The 25,103-nt window shown below is 42.6% G+C and overlaps 1 long non-coding RNA gene across 1 annotated transcript in view, besides 1 other annotated feature; it reads left to right on the forward strand.

The window, feature by feature from the left end:
• The window catches only part of LOC107985833 (uncharacterized), a 31,909-nt gene extending 25,168 nt beyond the window's left edge, over window positions 1–6,741 (forward strand). The window contains exon 3 of the long non-coding RNA XR_001739229.1: window positions 6,676–6,741. This is a non-coding gene — a long non-coding RNA (uncharacterized LOC107985833). The remainder of the gene's footprint in view (window positions 1–6,675) is intronic.
• Window positions 22,245–23,444: an enhancer, noted in NCBI's record as "CDK7 strongly-dependent group 2 enhancer chr2:192428730-192429929 (GRCh37/hg19 assembly coordinates)". NCBI's record gives its function as "activates an origin of replication core promoter dependent on BRD2, BRD4, P300/CBP, MED14 and CDK7 cofactors, with strong dependence on CDK7, by STARR-seq in HCT116 cells {active_cell/tissue: HCT116}" and the evidence as "EXISTENCE:reporter gene assay evidence [ECO:0000049][PMID:35650434]".

The raw sequence follows: 25,103 nt of genomic DNA on the forward strand, positions 1-25,103 counted from the left end.
TCAGGTGATCTGCCAGCCTCAGCCTCCCAAAGTGCTGGGATTACAGGCATGAGCCACCACGCCTGGCCAGACACATGTAATTTTAGAAAGTCCTGGAAGGTCAGGTTCAAATCACGACCTCTCATATTCCTCAGGCCTAAAACCTACTCTTTTTCTTATCCCTCCAGGCTTCCTCCTGTACAGAGAATGCTGACCAGTAAACAAAGTGTAGATCTGTTGCTCAATGGGTTCCCCAATATTTTCTTACTTGAATTACTCTTTCTCATCCCCATCAAGCAGGCTGGAGGCCCACAAAATATCCAAGTAGGAGGCAGCAAAATGAGGGCTGCTTCCAAAGGCTGAAAAGTGCAGTGCTGAGCATGACTGGGTCTTTTTCCCAAGTTCATTCGTGAGATCCACTACTCCTTTGCAGCAGTAAGTGCAGGGGGCAGGACCTGACCTGGGGGGTGGAAATTTTTTCCCCTCTCTGGAAATTCCAGCAGTGATCTTTAAGTCATATCTTACTAAAATACTTGGAAGAAACTTTGAAAGCAATAGTTACCTGGTCAGGCACAGTGGCTCACTCCTGTAATCCCAACACTTTGGGAGGCTGAGGCGGGTGGATCACCTGAAGTCAGGAGTTTGAGACCAGCCTGGGCAACGTGGTGAAACCCCGTCTCTACTAAAAATACAGAAGTTAGCCAGGTGTGGTGGTGCGCACCTGTAATCCCAGCTGCTCATTAGGCTAACAGCAGGAGAATTGCTTGAACCTGGGAGGCGAAGGTTGCAGTGAGCTGAGATGTTGCCACTGCCCTCCAGCCTGGGCAACAGAGCGAGACTCCATCCCAAAAATAAAATAAAATGAAAGCAATAGTTACCTAATGTCTTTAAGAACCATATGTAGCTCAGTCTGCATATTTTTGTCCTGCAACTGCAAGCAAAATATTTAAAAAATAACAATCTCTTTCTAATGGTTTGTGCTCCATAATAATATGATTTCAGGTCCTTTTTCCAGCCATGACACTCTCCTTCTGCCTGCTTCCATCGAAGGCTTTATACTATTTTTACAGCAACTTGCAGTCTACCACTTGCTTCAGCTCTTCCATGGCATGTCATCAACTGATAGACTAATGAGAAATTACTGTAATTACAACTATAGACTCATTACATAGGTCTCTCTTTTTTTTTTTTTTTGAGACAGGGTCTCACTCTGTTGCCCCATGTGGGGTGCAGTGGTGAGATCATGGCTCACTGCAGCCTCGACCTCCTGGGCTCAGGTGATCCTCCCACCTTAGTCTCCTGAGTAGCCAAGACTACAGGCACCTGCGACCACACTTGGCTATTTTTTTGTATTTTTTGCAGAGACAGGGTTTCATCATGTGGCCCAGGTTGGTCTCAAACTCCTGGGCTCAAGCAGTCCACCCACCTCAGCCTCCCAAAGAGCTAGGTAGGATTACAGGTGTGAGCCACCACACCTGGCCTACATAGATTTTAATCATTAAACTACATATAGCAAAGGGTACCGAAATAAGACATAAAATAGAAAACTTGCTTTTCTTCATTTTGAGTTGATTACTTATTGCTTTTCATGAAACTCTAGAGGCCAGCAGTTTCCTCCTACTTCTCTTGAGATCAAATTATCTCTCTGATTAGGAAACTCAGTGTGATAGATAAAATATCTTTTCATGACATTTATTTTTTTAGAAAGTACCTTGTAAATTAAAGGCCCCTCTTCCTAGGTGCTCACCCTTTGTGCTTTGCTAGCTTGATTGACATTTACGCTTTTACAGCTATTCAGTATTTCTCGTTATTTTGCCCAGGACCTACAGTGTCCTGAGAAGAAACCAGTAATTTAGAAGGTAAGCATTCAAGATAAAGTATTATTGCCAAATTGTAAAAAGTTGGGATGCATTTCTACTTTTTTTTTTAACATCAAAAAAGGGCCTGAAAGAAGTAAATTTCCCTTCCAAAATTGACACATAAATCTGTTTTTGCTTTTGCTCAAAATGATGAAATAATCTAGAGAAGGCAAAAATAAATAAGTTCTCACAGTGGCAATACTCGAGGTCATTGTAGAGATCTGAAGTCATTGTTGCTTTAACCTTGGCTTGGGGCATTAGTGTGACTCTTAGCTAAGCCATAAGATTCCCAGCTCTTTTATTCCTCAGATATTTAGCAATTTTACACCTCATGCAAATATGTACCCTGGAGGAAAGTTGCTCTCCAGTAAATGTTCCTTTACAGTATTGGATTTGGCTTTGGCTCCTGTGGAGCAGTTTTTACCAGCTTTACAAACAGATCACAACTCTTTAAGCTCATGCTGCAGGCTTTTTTTCGTATTTGTGATGCCTGCCTGCTTTGCCTAACCAAAACACGCCACTCAGCCCCTCAGTCGCATCCACCCACCCGCCACGTTCTTGCCTTCACAGGGTCACCAGCAGCTGAAGAGTTTGGGTTCAGCTATTGGCATTGTGCAGTGAAAACTGACTTGAACTGAAGACTCAGCCTTGTTGGTTAGGCTTTAAGAGATATATGAAAGTCAGGAATTCTGCTTTATTTGCTTTACATTATGAGGGATTTCTACTTAGAAGACCAAGATGAAAATAGGTCAGTTTGTGGAAGTAAGATTTTCTCATACGCTGGCTTCAGAAGAAACTAGGTTTTCATGAATGCTGAAGCTCGTCTTTTGCAGTGGGCGGTGTTGTTCTTTTCCGCTCCTCATTTCTTCTTTGTTCTTTTTGTTTATGCCTCTACCCCTCTTGTTTCCTGGATGGAACTTCCTCTCTCCAGGAGGAAAAATGAAGAGGCACTTATTACCTGAATTCTTACTAGCTGTGTGACTTTGGGCAAGATACTCAACCTGTCCAAGTGTCAGATTTCTTATGTGTAGAATAAATGTAATGATGTAGTTTATGAGGAGATGATGAGCATTAAGTATAATGCTTGTAAAGCACTTGGCATAGGGCCCAGCACTTGGTAAACAGCTAATAAATAGTAGCTTTTAGCATAATGAAAATGGTAGTATAAGCCAGTGAGATATTAGTTTACTCACTTGCTATTTAGCTGGTAGTTACCTGGTACAGGTGTCATGGAAATTCTTAGGAAATTGGCCATTCTGCCTGAGGGGGTTGGTCTCATTGGCTGAGGGAGGTAGTCATAGCTCAGGCCTGTGAGTCTTGTCTCCTAAAGGTAGTTTGTAGTTTTCTATTGGAGAATTGCCTTCAGCAGCTTCCTTAGCTGAAGCCCAGTCCTTTGGGCCTGCTGAGGAAGAAGACCTCAGCTGACTACCCCTCATGGTGCTATCTTCCCTCACTTTTCAATTTTACCTCTGAAGTAATGGTTCTTACTCTTTCTACAGCAAGGGAACATTCTCCATTGTTGCTTCATCTTCACTGAAGATTCAGCCAAGTGCTTTCTCTATCTTGTACAGTTTGCTAGATGACCATCCTTTCATTTTCTTTCCCCTATGCCAGTTCCCAAAATGTGGTCCCGAACAGCAGCATCTTTATCATTTGGAAATTTGTTAAATATGCACATGCTTGGGTCACATCCCACATGTAGTGAATCAGAAACTCTTAGGTGGGGCCCAGCTGAGTTTTAAAATCCCTCCTTGTGATTCCAATGCTCACTAATGTGTAAGAACTATTGCTCTATGTTTTTAGATTCAGACTTTTTTCCTGACATACTTCTCTAAGATTTGTCCTGTGAAGCTCATTGCAGTGACATATATAAAGTCAAGGACTATTATCTGTCAAAAGCATGCATTGTCCAGTCAGTCTTGTCTAGTGACTCACTAGGCTGAGGAGGATCCCATCTGGCAGGGGTTCCCATTGGGCCACTGTCCACCCAGGCTTGGACTCTACTTACTTCTGTCATCACTGGCTTTTTGTCTTTCCTTAGCATCTTAGCCACCCACGTTCTTTGGGTCACTCAAATCCTCTCTCTCAGGAACTCAGTTATTTCAGAATGAACCCAGTGATGCTTCAAATATGCCACAATGACCTTTCGGCCTTTCCTGATCAAATCTGTCCAGATCCTCTTTACACTGGAATTACTCCAATTTTCAAGGTGTGTCCCAATCACTCCAATTATGGATGTCACTTGCAGCTTCAAGAGGGTCTCATTAGTGTTTTCCAGGGTCCTGAGTCCTTTGCCCCATGGGGGTTACTCTGGTCAGCTCCAGACACGTGGCTTCCTTTTCAGCTCTCTTCGGGCCCCAAGAAACCCTCTTTCCTAGTCTCATCTCTAAGATGGTGGGACCTGTGAAAATATTCCTCTGACCTCCTTATCTGTCTAGCCCAGCCTCCAAGATCTCATTTTTCTTTTTTTTGTTTTTGTTTTGAGATGGAGTCTCGCCCTGTCACCCAGACTGAAGTGCAGTGGTGCTATCTCAACTCACTGCAAGCTCCGCCTCCCGGGTTCACACCATTCTCCTGCCTCAGCCTCCCCAGTAACTAGGACTACAGGTGCCCACCACCACACCCTGCTAATTTTTTTGGATTTTTAGTAGAGACGGGGTTTCACCGTGTTAGCCAGGTTGGTCTCGATCTCCTGACCTCATAATCCACCTGCCTCGGCCTCCCAAAGTGCTGGGATTACAGGTGTGAGCCACTGCACCGGCCCTCATTTTTCTTTGAGTATGTGTCCAAGATCTCAACCTCTCCCAAAGAAAACAATGCTCTTCCCCCCAGTTTTCTTCTATTCTTGCCCTGATAGGAAGACTCACATGTGTTTTTTTTTTTTCCCAACATTTAATTTTAGAAAATTTCAAACCCACAGAAAAGTGGATAGACTAGCACAATGAAAGATTTTACACCTTCTTCTGCATTCACCAGTTGCCAGCATTTTGCCACATGGGCTTTATCTTTTTCACTACACACACACACACACACACACACACAAACACACTTTTTTACTCTGAACTATTTGAAAGTAGACACCATGACACTACTGCTAAACATTTCAGCTTGTATTTCCTAAGAATAAGGACATTCTCTTATATAACCACAATATCACTATTATATGTAAAATATAGTTATATATCATAGATGTTATTTACTATATATAGTCCCTAGTCAAATCACTCCGAATACCCCAATACTTGTATGTTATCATGTCTTTTTAGTCACTTTTAATCCGGAATAGCTCCCCCCACCACCTTTTGAAAAATGTTTTAAATTTTGTCTTTTATACGGTGGCATTTTTGAAGAGTGCAGGCCAGTTGGTTATAGACTCTCCCAATTGGAATTTGCCTGATTATTTCCTCATGATTAGATCCAGGTTAAACACTTTTTGCCAGAATACTCCAAAAATGATATTGTGTTCTTTTCATACCCACATTTTGTTGCAATCTGGTGAAATTCAGGTTACAGAAGCAAAGGAGGATATGTTAGAATCCCAGAATCATAGAGCAGGAAAGAGCCTCATAGTCTGACCAAACCATACCATGTTACAAATGAGCACACTGAAGCATGAAGAAATCAAAGAGTGGTCCCACAGTATAGCCAGTGGCAGTCAGCTGTTGCTGGTGCACCATCTACTAAACTCTCCTAAAATGTCAGCATTCACTTTCTTCAGCTTTTCAGGACCCTAGAGAGAGTATGAGATAAACATGGGATCCATGGGGTAGTTGACATATTTATACAGACGCCAGAGTGTGTTATTACGAAGCTTTTCCTTTCCCCTGCTTTGAAGTCTGGCAAATTCCCCTAGCGACCTCTCCGAGAGATACTCAAGAAGCAGCTAATGCCTGTTTTCAAAAGAAAAGACAAGTTTTATGTAGAGATTGGCCTTCCAGCCAGCTCCAGAAACACTTCTAGGTTAAGAGAAGCAGCAGCCCAGCACTTCTGAGCTATTTGTGTGATCTAAAAGGCAGGTGTCTTTCCATTGACCTGTTTTCAGTGCTATAATCCCATTACCTTGACATTATCCTCTGGAGTTTTGCTTTGTTTGGGAATTTTAAATTCCTTTATTTGTAACAGATCAAAAGCTATCTGGCACACACCCTGCATTTGGATGCAGGCTCTTTGATGGATCTTGCAGCCTTCCCTAATGCACACGTTCGCATATTTCCCAGATAACCACTCATGGTCTGCCCACTGCCCCCAATTTAAAATAGAAAACCTATTCATAGACCTTTCAAATTCTGTCTCTCAGAGATTAATTGGGACCAGGTGCGGTGACTCATGCCTGTAATCCCAGCACTTTGGGAGGGCGAGGCAGGTGGATCACCTGAGGTCAGGAGTTCGAGACCAGCCTGACCAACATGGTGAAACCCCATCTCTACTAAAAAAATACAAAAATTAGCCAGGTGTGGTGGTGTGCACCTGTAGTCCCAGATACTCGGGAGGCTGAGACAGAAGAATTGCTTGAACCCGGGAGGCAGAGGTTGCAGTGAGCCGAGATTGTGCCACTGCACTCCAGCCTGGGTGACAGAGTGAGACTCCGTCTCAAAAAAAAAAAAAAAAAAAAAGAGAGAGAGAGAGAGAGATTAATTGGTAACTTTGTCAATGAATAGAAAGACGTGACTTTGAAATGTATTTTTGTGAGACCACATTGCTTTATGCTGTGGAGTGGGGTATCTCTAACAGTCACTTCCACTCAGATTCCTGCAAAACCGTCCTAGCGCACTGGCATGCTACATCGTCTAGGTGGGGGGCTGCATCCATAATCTCATCTTTACAACTGTTTTTACAGATCAGACAGTGGAACAGCTGAGACCGAGAACTGTGATGGGTGATTTGAAGAGCTTGGAGCAAGGGTTGGTAAACTATGGTCCTCGGACCAAATCTGCCACCTCCTGATTTACTTTTTATTTTTATTTATTGAGATGGGGTCTTCCTCTGTTGTCCAGACTGGAGCACAGTGGCACAATCACAGCTCACTGCAGCCTCTACTTCCCAGGCTCAAGCAATCCTTCAGCCTCAGCCTCCTGTCTCAGCCTCCCGTCTCAGCCTCCTGATTAGCTGGGACCACAGGCATGTGCCATCCCATCTGGCTAATTTTTTGTTTTTATTTTTTGGTAGAAACATGGTCTCACACCAGACACAGGGCTCATGCCTGTAATTCCAGCACTTTGGGAGGCCGAGGCAGGCAGGTCACCTGAGGTCAGGAGTTCAAGACCAGCCTGACCAACATGGAGAAACCCTGTCTCTACTAAAAATACAAAATTAGCTGGGTGTGGTGGCACATGCCTGTAATGCCAGCTACTCGGGAGGCTGAGGCGGGAGAATTGCTTGAATCCAGGAGGCAGAGTTTGTGGTGAGCCGAGATCGCGCCACTGCACTCCAGCCTGGGCAACAAGATTGAAACTCCATCTCAAAAAAAAAAAAAAAGAAAGAAAGAAACAGGGTCTCACTATACTGCCCAGGCTGGTCTTGAACTCCTGGGCCCAAGCTATCCTTCCCTACTTCGCCCTCCCAAAGTGCTGGGACTACAGGCGTGAACCACCACACCTGGCCACACCTCTTGTTTTTTTTTTTTTTTGAGACAGAGTCTCACTCTGTCACCCAGGCTGGAGTGCAGTGGCATGATCTCGGCTCACTGCAACCTCTGCCTCCTGGGTTCAAGCGATTCTCCTGCCTCAGCCTCCCATGTAGCTGGGATTATAGGCGCCCGCCACTACGCCTGGCTAATTTTTTGTGTTTTTTAGTAGAGACGGGGTTTCACCATGTTAGCCAGGATGGTCTTGACACACCTCTTGTTTTTGTACAGTCTACTACTAGAATGGTTTCTGCATTTTTAAATAGTTGAAAAAGATGAAAAAAGAATATTTCATAATGTGAAAATTATATGAAATTCAGATTTTATTGTACATAAATATTACTGGAACACACCCATGCTTATTCATTTACATATTGTCTGTGATTACTTTTGCATGACAGAGGCAGAGTTGAGTAGTTGCTACAGATATTACATGGCCCACAGAGCTGAAAATAGAGACCTTTCCTTCAGTCATTCATCAAATACCCATTTGGCACTTTTTGTGCACCAGGCACTCTGCAGAGCATAGGAGGTCAAAAGATACAGAAGAAAGCCTCCTCTCTTGGGGAGACATATCTATCAGGTGAAACACGGTGAATGTAAAAAGTGCATCAGAGCCGGGCGCGGTGGTTCACATCTGTAATCCCAGCACTTTGGGAGGCTAGGGCAGGTGGATCACCTGAGGTCAGGAGTTCGAGACCAGCCTGATCAACATGGAAAAACCCCGTTTCTACTAAAAGTACAAAATTAGACAGGCTTGGTGGCACACGCCTGCAATCCCAGCTACTGAGGAGGCTGAGGCAGGAGAATTGCTTGAACCTGGGAGGCAGAGGTTGTGGTGAGCCAAGATTGCGCCATTGTACTCCAGCCTGGGTGACAAGAGTGAAACTCTGTCTCAAAAAAAAAAAAAAAAAAAAAACAAGTGCCTCAGAAGTGCTATAGTAGAGCTGCATGAAAAGTGCCACTGGAACACAGTAGGCAACCTTTCCTGTGGGGTGGGGAAACCAGACAATCTTGACAGACAAGCCGCTGACATTTCAGCTGCAGGAGGAGTGTGTGCTCAATACCCCTACCACCTCACACAACCACTATTCTACCCTTTGTGGTGTTACCAGTCTCTTTTCTTATGCACGTTTTATACAGCTGTGCTCATCTGTCACCTGTTGTTATGAGTGGGAGGTAGTGAAGGGTTGGCATTAGTGTCAGTGTTGGGATTAAACTGCCTGGAAAGTCACTTTACCTCTGTAAGCCTCAGCTTCCTCATCTGTAAAATAACGATACAATGAAAACCTGCCTCAGAGGGTTGCTGAGAGCCTTCAATGAAACGAAGCACTTAGTGCACTTGACACGGATCCTGATGGGTAGTAAGTGCTCAGTCAAGGTCAGCTAGCATAGCCCTCCTTCTCAGTAGCAACCCACTGCCTGGCTCTTCTCCTCCATGCAGGAATTCTCTAGGTATTTGGAAGTGGGTAGAAGGGAGAGAACCAGGAACGTTAACTCCTGGCAAAGGTACTTGAAGAAATGAGAACAGCATGTGCAAGGACACCTTGGCCTTGGATCACATGGTGGTCAACATATTCAGTAGATTTTTTAAATTTATTTTTAATTTTTTTAGTTTTTGAGATGGAGTCTCACTCTGTCGCCCAGGCTGGAGTGCAGTGGTACGATCTCGGCTCACTGCAACCTCCGCTTCCCGGGTTCAAGCAATTCTCCTGCCTCAGCCTCCTAAGTAGCTGGGACTACAGGCGCATGCTACCATGCCTGGCTAATTTTTGTATTTTTAGTAGAGATGGGATTTCACCATGTTGGCCAGGTGGGTCTCGAACTCCTGACCTCAAGTGATCCACCTGCCTCGACCTCCCAAGGTGCTGGGAGTACAGGCGCAAGGCACCGCGCCCAGCCTCAGTAGATTTGACAGATTTGGTTACCTATGTTTTACTTTATTACCATGAGATTCCAGTCAGGTGAAATACATGAAAATAATTATAGTCATGCAAAAATTATGAAGAAAAAGAAAGAGAAAACCACACCATAGAAGCGGGAGTAAGAACAGTTGACGAAGATGTTGCATTCCCATTGCATTCCTGGCAACAGCTCAGAGTTTGAGGTGTAACAGATGCTCAGTAAATGTTTTCTGAATAACATTGAACAGTGTTTCAGGTAATGGAAAGAGTTTGGTACAGCAAGAACATGGGAGGGTGTGAGAAATGGTGGTAAAATATTAGGCTTGAGCCCCGCTATTGTGCCTTGTTGGGAAAGTCCTCCAATATTTATCCATCGGAACTGAGGAGGTTAAAAAAGCCAGGTCTCCAGGGGAACTTAGGAGTCAACAGGACCCAGAGCAGGTGGGGAGTTAAACCGGATAAGGTTGGAGACAAAAACAAAATTTCAATCTATTGGGAACATTTAGGAAGAGTTCTTTCACCAGAGAGGGCAGGATTTAGTTTGTGGTGCTTTAGTGACAATAGGTAAGAAGGAAGGGAACACCCCGCCCAACTTCTTTGATTATAACACTGAGACATACTAGTCAACTATGAACTTACATTTGATCAGCAAAATCCAAGAATCAGAAAAAGCTTTCATCAGAGTACCCTCTCCTGCATCACTGCTGGTTCTCTAACCCAGTCCCCAGTTTATAGTAAATTCTTGAGAGAGAAAGACGAGCTATAAAACTGCAAAGGAAAACCAAGGCCAGGCTACTTTAGATGTGAGCTGTTTGCTAGTATATTGTGTCCCCAGCCAGCATAGGTTATACTACCAAAATAAAATGAAAAGGAAACAAATATTGTGGCTGCCATCTGTGTAATACGGAATTAAATGTCTTTCTGGCTCTACAGAAGGCACCACAAGCTAGATGTCTTCATGCTCGAATATCCCAGAGGCATTTTTTTTTTATTATTATTGGTTGGAACAGCAAGAAATAAAGACTAAGATACATTTAATATTTAACTCTAAATCTTTAGTCTCCCTCATTAGTCTGACTTGCCTGCAGCCATATTGCTGTAAATTAAACAACCTAAGCTGGTATGTTGCCAAAGCGTACATCCGGTGAAATGTTAACAGTTCTTGTTCTTATGCCTGATCAAGTTAAAAACAAGAAAGTAATCTGTTTGCTATCCAGGGAGGTCATTAGAAAGGATGGTTGAAAAAAAACAAAAGCAAAAACAAAAAACTGTCAACGTATTTTGGAAGTTGGAAACTGAAAACCGGCTCTACAGCTCTAAGCTGGTCTTTGTAGAAAGCGGCTAATGGAGCTAAATATGGAAACTACTTCTTTTGATGGGGACCTCGTTACAGAAGAGTTTCAGGAAAGCTGGTTTATAGTTCCCCTATCACAATGTTGCCAAATTATCAATGCCCGGAGGAATGAGAAAATGCCTTCTGACCAGTGGAAGCCGATAAAGTAATACTTTCATTTGGAATGCCACAGAAAAGATAGCAGAAGCTAGAGTTCTCAGCTGGATAACTCACTGTGCCAGGCGCGGTGGCTCACGCCTGTAATCCCAGCACTTTGGGAGGCTGAGGCAGGCGGATCACCTGAGGTCAGGAGTTCAAGACCAGCCTGGCTAACATAGTGAAATTTCATGTCTACTTAAAAAAAAAAAAAATTAGCCAGGAGTGGTGGCACATGCCTGTAGTCCTAGCTACCTGGGAGGCTGAGGCAGGAGAATCGCTTGAATCCGGGAGGCGGAGGTTGCAGTGAGCTGAGGTCGTGCCACTGCACTCCAGCCTGAGCAACAGAGTGAGACTCTTGTCTAAAACAAAACAAAAAACAAAAAAGATAGAGAATGCACTGAGCCAGAACACAGGAACTATCCTTCATGTGAGCAACTGGCCAGAATCTTTTTTTTTTTTTTAATGTGGAAATGTGGCTTGGTCCTCTCTTCAGATTTAACTCATTTGATCAATCTTATTGATCAAGAATGGACAGTTAGCTGTCATTCTCTTCCTTCCATACTAATGACAAAAAATAAGTCCTGATTCGACAAATTATTTGATCAGCACAAACTGTTTATTAACAAAGAACAGAGGACCACACGTTGTCTTTCTCCTGCTTTCCTGTGTCTGTAATAGAGTGGCGCGAAGACAAACACATTCCTGGATCTGTCAGCTTCACCTGACTTGACTCTGGAATTCTCAGTAAGCCTATCTGCTTAAACCACAGTCTCTCAGCCTCAGTTGCTTGTTTGAATCACGGGGAGCTCTGGAAGCTCCTTGTACTCCAGCCATACTCCACACCAGTTACAGCATTATCTTTGTTGGGGGCAGGTGTGACCCAGGTATCAGTATTTTTTAATGATGCCTAAATGATTCCAGTAAGCAGCCAAGTTTAAGAATTGCTGCATTCTCAATCTTGGTGACATATTAGATTCACTTGGGGACCCAGACCAAGCTAGTCAGAATCAGAATTTTTTTAGTCCCCCAGGTGACTCTCATATGCAACCGGGGCTGATAGTTTCTGCCTTTATATAGTGATTCTCAAAGTATGATCACAGAGCTTGCATTAGGGGTACTCACTTTCCTTATTAAATATTTGGTTTCCAGCTCCACCCCAGACCTATTGAATCAGAAATAGGACTTCACTTCGTTTTGCGAGCTCTGCAGGTGATCCACATCCTCTTTAAAGCTTGAAATCCACCACCTGAAACTTCCTCTATCTCTGCTTGAAGATTCCTCAACTTCCACAAAGAAAGATTTATTCTTTTTACCTGAGGAAGACGGAGTTTATATTTCTGTGAAAGTGCAAATACAATGGCATAACATGCAAAATACATTAGGTTTGAATATGATGAACCTGATCAAGAAGAAAAAGGAATCAACCAAACAAAACCAACCAAAACAAACAAAAACAAGACATTGGGTAAAAAGAACAAGGTGCAGAACAGCTGGTATAGCATGTGCCTTTTTTAAACCATAAAAAGGAATAGTTGTATGAATATTCTGGGTAGCTGCTAGGAAGACCTTTTATAATATGTGTCATACACACATAATTCTTCTATTCAAAAATAGAGTAATTAAAAATGCAAACATTACAGAGAGAAGTCATATTAAGCCTCATTAATGTTAAAAGATAAACTGAGGCACATTAGAATATTAAGGAGTTTATTTGAGCAAACGATTCATAAATCAGGTAGCATCAGACTTCAGGTGGCTCGAGGCTCCACCAAGAGGGCAAGAGAAGGCTTTAAAAGGGTTAATTGGTGGCTCCTGAGTTTTAAAGCTGAAGTTGCATTTTCCTAGAATATGACCATTGATACTTGGGTTTCGGTTTGCTTCTGTAGGAATCCAGGGCCCTGGAGCTGGCTCAGCCTAATGGCCTCTCCATTAATTATCTTAGTTACTTATACCTAGAGTGAATCATTTTATCAAAAAAAATTTTCTGAACAGCTTTTGATTTGAGGAAGAACAAGTAGAATAAATGTCCTGAGGACTAGGGAAGCCAAAGAACGTGTGGAGGAGAGGCACAGGAAAGAATCTCAGAGCCTTGAAGTCGGCATTTGCCAACTTTACATTTTTGTTCAAGGTCAGTCTTGACCTTGATTTACATTCCCAAAGATGGAAACAAACCAGTGTGTGTTCTTCACCTGTCACCGACACTCGTTTAGAAAATAATTGGGGTCGTCCCGGCGCAGTGGCTCGTGCCTGTAATCCCAGCACTTTGAGAGGCTGAGGCAAGAGGATCGCTTGAGCCTGGGAGTTCGAGACCAGCCTGGACAACATACTGAGATCCCTGTCTCTACTAAAAATACAAAAATTAGCCAGGCGTGGTGGCGCGTGCCTGTAATCCCAACTACTGGGGTGGCTGAGGCACGAGAATCGCTTGAATCTGGGAGGCAGAGGTTGCCGTGAGCTGAGATTGTGCCCCTGTACTCCAGCCTGGGTGACAAAGCGAGACCCTGTCTCAAAAAAAAAAAAAAAAAAGAAAAGAAAAGAAAACAAGTGGGGGCGTCCTCACTTTCCCAGGCTCCCTCTAATTGTGTGTGGGGGTTGGGTGTTTAGCACTCACAAGCTTCCGCGAAATGCTGCCTCAAATTATCTTGTAGCCACCAGGTGGCAGCAGCAATCCACTTTTTGGTCTAACCTGGGAGAGGCTGAACTAGGATGGTTCTCCTTTAATTAGCGTACTGGCCATAGAATCGTGGACGTTTAGACATGAAAGAACCTTTCTCAAAAGTTCTGACAACTACAGATGTTTAAACGGAGAAAAAATAACAAACATATTAAGAACACTTCGTTGTTCACACAATAAATTTCATCTATTGAAGGGAAGAAAGGAAGTTGTAACATCTACAATGTGCTGGGCACTTTGTATGTTATCTCATTTGATTATCAGTACAACCTTGTGGGATGGATACCAATGCCTCTAATTTACCGTGGGGGAAACTCAAGTTGGGATAGGTTCAGACTTGTCTGATGTCTCAGAGAAGTAGGTAACAGAGGCATTTAAAAGTATCAGACACTAGTCAAAAGTCTTGGAGTTGAACCACAGCATGCTTTGGTGTGTGTGGGGTGGGATTGATCAGCCAAATGGCAGGATTTTGATGGTGAGGGAATATGGTTATTCTTTGAGGACCCTCTGTTTTATGGCCCAGTACTTGTGCTAGTCACAAAAAAGTAAGAGGATCAAGGGTGCCTTCTAAATTTGAACCATCTTGAATAATCAGGAGGAGCTTCTTGAAATTAGAGGAGTCTTAATCAGAGAGAGAATCATGCTCTGAAGAGGGGACAGAATGCTTATTTCTCTTTTTTCTTTTGAGACAGGGTCTCACTCTGTGGTCCAGGCCAGAGTGCAGTGGCGTGATCGTGGCTCACTGCAGCTTTGAGCTTCTGGGTTCAAGTGATCTTCCTACTTCAGCCTCCCAAGTAGCTGGGACAACAGGCATGCACCATCACGCCCAACTTATTTTTGTATTCCTTGTAGAGTCAGGGTTTCTCTGTGTTGTCCTGGCTGGTCTTGAACTCTTAGGCTCAAGCGATCCTCCTGCCTCAGCCCCTCAAGCAGTGGGATTACAGGCGTGAGCCACTGTGCCAAGCCAGAACACTTATTTTTCTAAGATAATATGAACCTGAAGTAAATGACAAATTTTAAGTCATGTAAAGTGTCAGGGGAAATATTTATTAGTGGGACGTTGCTCTATACTTGTTGCCTTCATAATTAAATAATACACTGAAGTCTCTACTTTTTAATAGTATCTCTTCCTTCTCATTAGACGAGATGAAGAAATTATCTTCTCACACTTTCCTGCACCTCTTTTCTCCATAATTTCCCAATTTGGGCTGGGTAAACTCTATTTTTATGTTGTCAAGGTTAGTAATTTACGTTCAGTCCTATAACTGTAAATAAGAGCTTTGGTGGTATAATTAAACAAAGTATTTGGTGAAGAACTGAGCGGTGTGGTTGGTCAGCAGGAAAGACATGTCATCCTCTGTGACTAACTTCATGTCCTTATAAGGACAATCATCAAGGTCAAATGCATCCTGTTCTCTAACATGCTCAAAATTAGGCAATGTTTGGTTTATTTGTGTGTGTACATGGCTTTCTTGCAAACATTTTTGTTTCTTTAAAGGTTGTATTGGCCTTACCTTATTTCAATTGTTAGAGGAAAATAGGCTCATTTGTCATATCACTAGGATATGCCCTCTTGACCATACTATTTATTGAATGGTGCAGTGTGGACTCCTTATGGCTTTGCTCTCCATCTGTCACGGTGGGCTTTGTTTGCATTGCACTGCTTGGCTGGCTTCCCTCTTTGTTATATCTTTGTAAGTTTCCTCCTTAATTGGATTTGTCTATATGTTTTGTTGAACATCCTTAATAATTTCAGAAATAGTGGTCAGGGAGTATATTTTCCAAAGGTTGGCATGACTAAGATGTCTTCTTGTTATTCTCCTTTGATTGAAATTTCATGATGAAAATGTTCCTTTAATTTCTCTCAATAGCTCATAGTAATTCCTTATTTTTATCTAGTACAAATCACTAGAATTAATGTTAGTTGTGTCTTGCATAATTTCTATTAAGATTATTTTAGTACTATTTCAATATTATTTTTAAATAAAACAGATTATATGAGTAAATTATGGTCTTAAGTGAATCTTTCTGGCTGTTTCCAGTAAAAAGTAACCCTCTCTCATTTCCTTTACACCTTCGTAATAACAACTAGACATTTTCTTCTCATATATTCTATTGTATTTCTGTGAAACCTTCTGGAAAGGTTTTTAAAGCAGTATTTCTGTCATCATTTTGTGAGTCCCATTTTCACAACTCACTTAGAAGCGAAATGTTTTATGAGAAACTGTGTGGGGCCTAGAATGAGTAAAGCACTAGTCTTTGAGCATGATTCAGAAAATTAAGTCTTCCAGTAGACTTAAAGCTATTGTAAGGCCCATCTGTGTGCCTAAGGAAAGACTCCTTAACTCACTGAGAAAATGCCTATGAGCGTAAGAAAACTCCTTTTCTCCTCTATAAAATAAAGAAAATGGTTAAAGTTTTACATGTATGACCCGATCCTTTGCTGTTTACAGCATAGAAATCTGTGATTCTCCTGCTGATAGAATGAAAGTTACTTTTAAATGGTTAGAATTGAAAAATGCTCAGATCAAAATATTTGCTGAATTTTCCTCTCAATAATACCTGGGTGGATATGTAATTATTTCTTGGCCTGCTGGGTGAAGTAGCCCACAGGGTTTTGTCTGTCTTCACACATACGGAGAGGACTGTACCGTGGTCAGAACGTGGCTCCGAGGGCCTGACTGCATGGGTTCACATCCTGCCTCTGCTACTACCTAGCTGAGTCACACTGGGCCATTCTGCTTAAACTCCCTCCAACTCTGGTGTCCCCTGAGCCTCAGATGTCCCCTCTGTGAAATGAAGATAACACTAGCACTTAGGCTGTGAGGGAATTGTAAAGGTTAGGTGAGTTAGCCTCTGCAGGGAGCTAAACACATTGCCAGGCCCCTGACAAGCCTCTGGGATGTCTGCTAGCATCATTATCATTCAGTCATGAATTAGGCGTACATAGCTCACCCTCAAGGAACCCTTGAGGCATATTCATGTCTAAAAAAATGAGGTCATTTTGGGTTGATGGGGAAGGAGCCTCCGGAAGAGATAGGGTTCCTTTTCAAAGCTTTGCGGGGTGACAGTGGACAGGATGCATCGACAATGACAACAAATGCTGTTGATGGGCTCTAAGAGATGTATGGGAACGGGGCATGAGTGAAAATATGAACCTACCCAAGTGTGTGTGTGACCAGTAAAGAGAGCGGAACATTAGAGATGAGAAAGGGAAATCCTTATAGAACATTCAAAAGATACAAAAAACAGTAACAGTACACCAATGCTCTAGAAAAGAAAATCTGACTTCACATAGGCATATTAAACATCCCACCAATACTTGAAATGCACTGAACTAGTAGATAATTGAAATAAGGTATTTAAAATTGCATAATAGGCTGGGTGTGGTGGCTCACACCTGTAATCCCAGCACTCTGGGAGGCTGAGACGGGAGGATCAATTGAGGTCAGGTGTTTGAGACCAGCGTGGCTAATATGGCGAAAGCTGTGTCTACCAAAAATACAAAAATTAGTTGGGTGTGGTAGCGGGCACCTGTAGTCTCAGCTACTTGGGAGGTTGAGGCAGGAGAATTGCTTGAACCTGGGAGGCAGAAGTTGCAGTGAGCTGAGATTGAGCCACTGCACTCCAGCCTGGGAAACAGAGCAAGACTCCGTCTCAAAAAAAAAAAAAAAAAAAGATAGATAGATAGTGATAGTTGGATAGATAGATAGATAGATAATGATAGAGATGTTTGGTTGGCCATTGATAAGACATAATACAAAGAAGAGGTTGACTGAAGAAACTACTGAGATCCTTATTTCTTAAAGTCATTCTTTGTGCTTCTAATTTCTTGTAAAAATAGCTCAATATCTAGAAACAGCTTGTCTTCAGAGAGGTAAGCCCAGATATATACAGAAACTGCTGTACTTGTGGTATGATATGGAGGCTGTGAGGATTAAATGAGATTTTAAGTGCCTTGTCTATCACTGATACACAGTAGGCATTCAACAAATATAAATTTCCTTAAAATCTAGCATTAGGTTTAGTCTTTGGATTCTTTATTTAGTCCTCCTTAAATATATTTAGTTCATTCTTTCATTCCCTTTTTTTTTTTTTTTTTTTTTTGAGACAGAGTCTTGCTGTGTCACCCAGGCTGGAGTGCAGTGGCACGATCTTGGCTCACTGCAACCTCTGCCTCCTGGGTTCAAGCGATTCTCCTGCCTCAGCCTCCCGAGTAGCTGGGATTACAGGCATGTGCCAACAGGCCTGGCTAATATTTTTTCTGTAGAGACGGGGTTTCACCATATTGGCCATGCTGGTCTTGAACTCCCAAGTTCAAGTGATCCATCTGCCTTGGCCTCCCAAAGTGCTGGGATTAGGGGTGTGAGCCACCATGCCTGGCATCTCCAAATATTCATTGATGGTTTACCATGTGCCACACCCAGCACCAGCCCTAGGGGTACAGGGTGAATAATAAGTCCCTGAACCCAAAGAACAAGTCTGGTGACTGACAGTGTTAGTGACATCACAGAGAAATGTCTGCTGATTGGAGGGATCAGATCAGGAACCTGTAGGAAAGAGTGGGAGACAAAGAGTCAGAAAAGGGTTCAAGGTAAATCAACGGGGTTTGCAGGCCCCTCAATCTGCTTCTCATTGTAGCCCGGAGCGGGCCTCGGTACCATCCCTGTAGCTAGAGACTAAGTGGGGAATGGCATCCCCTCCCTAGCTGTGGCTCTAATCCAAGTGTAGTGATGCCTTAGAAACTGCTGCCTGAAAACAAAGAAAAAGAAGAAAACAATAACCATAATGAAATAAAAGCCTTAAAGTGAAAGAAAAACAAAATGTCATGATTTGTGCATTTTTCTGCAAAACCGATTTGTTCTGTGGTGGAAGATAGAGTCTGCATTTGATTTCTACAAGATATGCAGTAATGGGTTATGTACTCCAGGGAAAAACTATTCTTAAGGGAGTGAGAACGTGATGGATTCACTTCCTTGGTGAGGTTTACAATATGTGGCAGTTTTAGTGCGAGCAGGTATTTGGTCTATAAACTTGGAGAGCCAGGCATTAGTGGGAGCTCGTTTCTAAATGAAGAAGAATGCAGCTCTCCCTCTCACTCTGGTTATTAGTCCTTCTGGGGATAAACAGGAAGATTAAGTGTTTTCTTGATGTTGTGTTTGCCTGTCACAGTAATGTGCACACACCCCATTGGCAGCACCTTTACGTGGCGCCGCAGACTTGCTATTTTTGTTGGAAGGAGTTGTTCATTGAGAGGCCTGGGTCTCATTCCGTGCTGAATGGCGTTGGGGTTATTTCCACTCTTTGTTCAAATGCTGCCTCTCGATTAGATGCTCTACGATTAGCTGCTTTGCAATTAGAAACTGGATCTGTGAACATCCAGTTTCTTGGTCCCCGGAGGACATTTCATGTCCTCACTCCTCAAAGCCTGCTGTTCTGCTTGTTGCAGTTTAAATGGTGCTAAAGAGAGGCCAACCTGCCAGCCAGCTGGCTTCCCGGAGGACCTTGGAGGCTGCCCGCGCTGGGGCTGCTGGAGAACTGCTCGGCTGGGCACGTGTGGGGAACTTGAATTGTCATCTCTGTGAGAAGTGACTTCATTCTAGGGGGCTTATTTGTGTTAACTAATCTCTTAAAACACTGGCTGGCTGATAAATTAAAATGCCAATTTATTTATTTACTATTAGAAATATACTTGCTAAGCAATATATCTGTGTCAGCCATTCAGTTTGTTCTCTTCACACAAATAAAGCCTATTTGGGGCCGGGCAGGGTGGCTCACACCTGTAATCCCAGCACTTTGGGAGGCCGAGGTGGGTGGATCAGGGGTTCGAGACCAGCTTGGCCAACACGGCGAAACCCTGTATCTACTAAACATACAAAAAACAAAACAAAACAAAAAAACTAGCTGGGCGTGGTGCCAGGTGCCTGTAGTCCCAGCTACTCCGGAGGGTGAGGTGGGAGGATGGCTTGAGCCCGGGAGGCGGAGGTTGTAGTGAGCTGAGATTGTGCCACTGCACTCCAGCCTGTGCAACACAGCGAGACTCCATCTCAAAAAAAAAAAAAAATCTATTTGGGAAACCAAATTATAGATCATATATTTTGTAGTGAGGGAAAAAGAGACTCCTGTACACTGCTCATTGGAATATAAATTGAGACAAGTTTTCTGGGCGGCAATGTTTTATTATTATGTGGAGCCTTTCCATTGGACAAGCATAATGGATTCCTCATTTGTGTCTCCTATCATTACTTAAAAATGTATTTGGTGGTGGAAGCTTCCCCTACTCACTGGCTGAGAACTTGGATGCCCCTCTGTTCTGCTTGCTCTTGGGGAGTAGATTGGCCTATGTTCTAAGCCACAAATGCTGGCTTGATTCAGAAATTAAGAGTATACAATCCAAGCTATTAATCAAACTTCAGTCTTTTTTTTCACAGGTAAGACGTTTCCTTTCCTTGTCCCACCTGAGGTCTGTGTTCAACGGGGCACCTGTTCTTTGCACCGTGGTTTTGGTCACCTTCTCTCACTCCTTTCTTTCCCTCTTTCTCCTTGTTAATTGCATCTTCTGGCCTCTCAGAGGATGGGACACAGCAAAGGAAGAAGTCACTAAGCCTGTGGTGGGAGATACCATGCTCCCCTCTCTCTGGTGATGGGCAGGCTGTCACAGCATGGCTTAGCTGAAGACATCACCTCCCAAATCCACTTCTTCCACACTCAGCACTTGTTTAGTCTTTGCCTGAGTGATCTAAAGTAGAAAGCCTAGCTTTTTTGTCTATCTTTTGAACATTTTGTTCAGGCACCTAACTTCGGTGTGGAACATCTATTGCATGTATTTTACTTTGTGTGTGTCTGTCATGTATTTCCTCAGCCTAAATTCCTAGAACTGGAGTTGTTATGCTCATGAGTGTTAGTAAACCTAGCAGTTAAGAGTGTGGGTTCTGGAGACTATTGTTTCCAAGTGGCAGGGTCAAACTTTAGTTTTAACATCCTAAAATGTTGTATATGCATTGAAAACTTTAAAGGTTTTCATAACAACAGCAAATACTTATTTGGAACTTCTACTAAGTTTAATTTTTCAACAATCCTATGAATTATGTGTTATCATAATCTCCATTTTGCAGATAAACCAAGGCAAAGAAAGACTCAACAACTTGCCTAGAGTCACACCAATAGAAAGGAATAAATCTAGGATTCCATCCAAACTGTCTGCCTCCCATTCTAGGAAATCAGTCTGAGGAAATAGTAAGATACACTAAATAATATAGCTGGATTTTAATTGCAATATTTCTGATAACTTGAAAAAACTGGGTACAACTTACATATTTGATAGTAAGAGATTGATTAAATAAACAGTGGTATCTTAATATGCTTGAATCCAAAGACTTTAAACACGTATTTTAGAGGAATAGTCACATACGAACAATGCATAACTAATGTAATTGCTCTGTCACTCAGGCTGGAGTGCAGTGGCACGATCTCAGCTCACTACAACCTCTGTCTCCCAGATTCAAGCGATTCTCCTGCCTCAGCCTCTCAAGTAGCTGGGATTACAGGCATGCACCACCATCCCTGGCTAATTTTTGTACTTTTAGTAGAGATGGGGTTTCGCCATGTTGGCCAGGCTGGTCTTGAACTCCCGAACTCAAGTGATCCGCCCATCTCGGTCTCCCAAAGTGCTGGGATTACAGGCGTGAGCCACAGCGCTCCACCAACATATATTAATTTTATTAAAAAACTGTTAGAAATACAATATAAAGAAGTCAAAATGGGAAACTGGTTTGCAAGAGAAGATTGAGTTAGAATTGAATTTGAAGTGAAAAAAATCTTTTTAAGAAGGTGATTGGTGAAATGGAGTCAGAACAAAAAGTTGAATAACCTTAAGGATGGTCCATTTGAGCAGTTAAATCCCTGAAAACACTATTCCATTAGAGGGTGACATTAGCCTGCTATCTTCTTGACACAATATATGACCTAGAAAGATTTGGGGAAGAGATACAATTTTGAAATTTCTTTTTGTTACATAAAGGCTACATTTTCCATCTAAAATGCTCTAGTTTCTTCTAGAGAATGCTGATATATAAAGGGGAGGAAGATAAAAAATTTGAAATAGAAGTTTAGCAAGAAAAGAAGATAAGTTTGGGAAGACTTGTAGATAGAGCATGAATAGAGTGCAGTTTGATGTGGTGTGGTTGATCGCAAAGGAATCCCAATGTTGTCTGCAGTGTGGCTTAGTGTACCCTGTAGTCATAAAGTTCATATCCATTGAAAACATCAGGACTAAAATAGGTGTTTCATGTTAAGACCTGGACTTGGCTCTTCCCAGCCAAAAGCAGGTGGTCTTTGTACCATTCATCGCTTGCCATTTGCAAAACTTTGTAAGGTACATTTGGGGATAGTGGGGGTGGGAGGCAGGTGGCGGTATATGCAACATTTATCAAACCTCCAGAGTATTAAGAGGAAAGGTGGTTTCAGAAAAAGAAATCCTTTACATTTCTTCCCCATTTTGACAAAATCCAAACTAAAGCTTCAGTTATGTAGACCCTCTCAGATCTGATATCTTTTCAGGATATAAATAGTACATGTAAGAAAGGAAGTAGGGTAATTATTATAAAATTAGAGAAATATATTTAGTCAGTCAAAATCCTGAGCTGCTTTGCCATTTAAAATTGTGTGTAAAGTTTAGAACTCTCGTTGATCGGACTGTATCATAAAACTGAAAGTGTGGAGAACAAAGACCTCAGAATTCTTGCTCGGCTTTAGAGGATCATGTTCAGGGAGAGGACTCTAATTGAAATGAGGAGTAGATACCAATGGATATTTTACTGTCTATAATGTCAATTGTACAGTTTTGAACTCCATTGTGGGGAATGTCAATGGTCCCTCACTCGTCCAGGGTAACCAAGAGATGAAGAGTTGAGGGGAAGCACTGTGGTGCGGCTTATTGTGGCTGTTTAGTGGTGGTATTTCCTGGAAGGCAAGTTAATGGTGAAATGGAAGGCCCTTTCCTTTTATGTCCCTTTTGGTCTGATATTTTCCATTGTTGACTGCAGGTTGAAATAGCTCAAAATAAAAACCAGAAAATAAAAGCTGCAAGTAAAAACTTCATTTTGCCTATGCCAAATAAAATAGAAAAACTGGACTTCTGGCTTTTCAACATCGATTGCTGTGGGTACTATGGAAGATTCTTCGAATCAGGCACTTCTGGAGAAATTCATGATATGTAATCAAGAAATAACCATAGCCTAGAAGCTGATTTTTTAAGGCGAGCTTCCGTGTTCGTGTTTTCTTCTCCCCTCCTGTTTTGGAGGATTAGATGTAAATGCTCCTTTGTAAAGTTACCCCATCACCTGTTCTCTTTAGCCCATCCTCATGTTTCCCACTGACTTTTATCTCTGGCTTCTCTTTGTCCATGGGAGCTTTTTTCTCTGCCCATAAACATACTCAAATCTACTTTTTTCTTTAAAAGCAACCATCCATCCAGCCCAGAAAACCTTCCCTCAATCTCCAACTCTTTTACTGCCTCTCCTTATCTTGCTTGAAGTCTAAATTCACAGAAGTCTAGTCTGACTTTTTTTCCTATGGCTTCACCTTTCACTCTCTCCCAAGTCATTTCCAAACCAGCTTGCATAGTCACCTCTCTACTAAAGGTAAAAAATGACCTCAGATATCCCATTTACATTCTTTCTGAGTTCTGAGGCATTGACATGTGAATCTCTTCCTCTTTCTTGGAATTCTCATTCCTGGGTTTTGCTTTTTCTTAGTCCTTCTTGCTGGCCCAATCTTCTTTGGACTGTCCTTGGAATCTGGTGTTTTCCAGGTTCTGCCCTCTCTCTCTTCTCTGGCTTTCAGATAATAGCGTGGCATTTATTCATTTCTGGTACTATGCTAAAACCAGAGACACAAGGATGACTAAACATCACCACCTATTAGGAATCTTTGGACACATTAACATTCCAGAGCCTCAATTTTCTCATATAAAAATGGGTCATAAATACTTCAGGTCCAGACCTACATTTGCAATTCCTCATGGTGCAGCCCTGGTTACGAGCCTAACGTGACCAAAAACAAATGCTCAATATCCCCCTTGCACAATCTTTTCCTCTCTCAATAATTCCTCCCATGGCTAATGGCAGTAACATTTCTCTAGTCTAGACACAAGCTAGAAACCTGGGAATCATCCTTTGTTTCCCTTTCCCTCAACCTCTACATCCAATAAATCTCCAAGCCTACCACTTGTCTATCAGAAATATTGCTTTAAAACCTGCCACTTCATTGCCCCACCCAGACCTCATCATTTCTCCCCTGGCCAATACTACCGTAGCCTTTGTTCTCCTTTCCTTCTTCTAGGTTCTACACCGACTCCAAAATTCATTCTCCACAATGCTGCCAGAGTGACTGTTTAAAAGTAATACTTTGATCACATCTTATCTGCTCTAAAAGACTTCAGTGGTTCCTGCTGTCTATAGGATAAAGTTCAAGCATTTGTAAAACACTTCCTGTTTTGTCCACAACCTCCTTGTATGGTCTCACACTGAGTCCTCCTTCCTTTACCCAGTCACCTCTTATTTTAGCCACAAGGGTTACTGCACTTTCGCCAAGAGGAGTGAGGTCCCTGTGCTACGGTTTATGTTGTTCCTTCTGTTTGCAGCACTTTTCTCCTATTCCCCCACATGGGGACATCCTCCTGGATTTCAAAACATGTTCCAAAGTCCTCTTCTTCCCCGAGGCCTTCTTTGAGCCTTCTCTGGAGGAATAAGTCCTTCTCTATTCTTTCTGTGCTCACACAACTTTGCTTCCCTGTTCTCTTTGCCACCTTATCAGATCGCATTCATAGATGTGAGGGTTATCTTATCTGCTTATTGAGCAAGGACTGCACCTCAGGCTTTTGACCATCCCAGGAGCTTATCATGGTTCCATGGCCAGAACTCAACAAATATGTGTAGCAAGAAGCGAGTAATAAAAAAAAAAAAAAAAAGAAGAGTGCAGAATGCCAGCAGGTCCAGGGTTATATGGCAAAGCCAGCCTTGTGTTGGTCTGAACACTAAAGCAATGTTTCTTTTTGTTACCAGCAGATCCCAGAATATTCACCACTTCAATCCTATATCCTGTGACCCTCAACCTAGAGTCAAAGGAGCAAAGCCATGAAGAGAACCATTTTGTCCACATGGGGGCAGCACAGGCACTTCCACAATCGTATCCGAGGTCCCCAGGTTTCTCACCTCAAGGGTCCATTTATAGCCAGACCCAACTTTTCCTTGCCTGAGGTCCAAACTCAAGAGGCTTCACGTCTCCTCCGCCACCTTCTTCTGGGCTATAGAAGGCATTAATTTTAAGGTGATTTTAAAAAACCATTTATGGAGGTTCATCATAAATTGCTTGCCCCCAGGCGCTGGAGTAAGTTTCAATCATTCACCGTGTTCCTGAATAATGAAGAAGCTTCTCCACCGAAACAACGCTATCATACACCCAGACGGGCAACGCCTTTTTCTGTGGGTCCCTAGAAGTGTTTGTTGAGCTCTAAGGGGAGTCAGATCCAGATCTCATGCTCCCTGGAGTTTATGCTGGTTGGAGTGGGTGA

The sequence above is a fragment of the Homo sapiens genome, chromosome 2 (genome assembly GCF_000001405.40).
Source record: "Homo sapiens chromosome 2, GRCh38.p14 Primary Assembly".
Taxonomy (NCBI): Eukaryota; Metazoa; Chordata; class Mammalia; order Primates; family Hominidae; genus Homo; species Homo sapiens.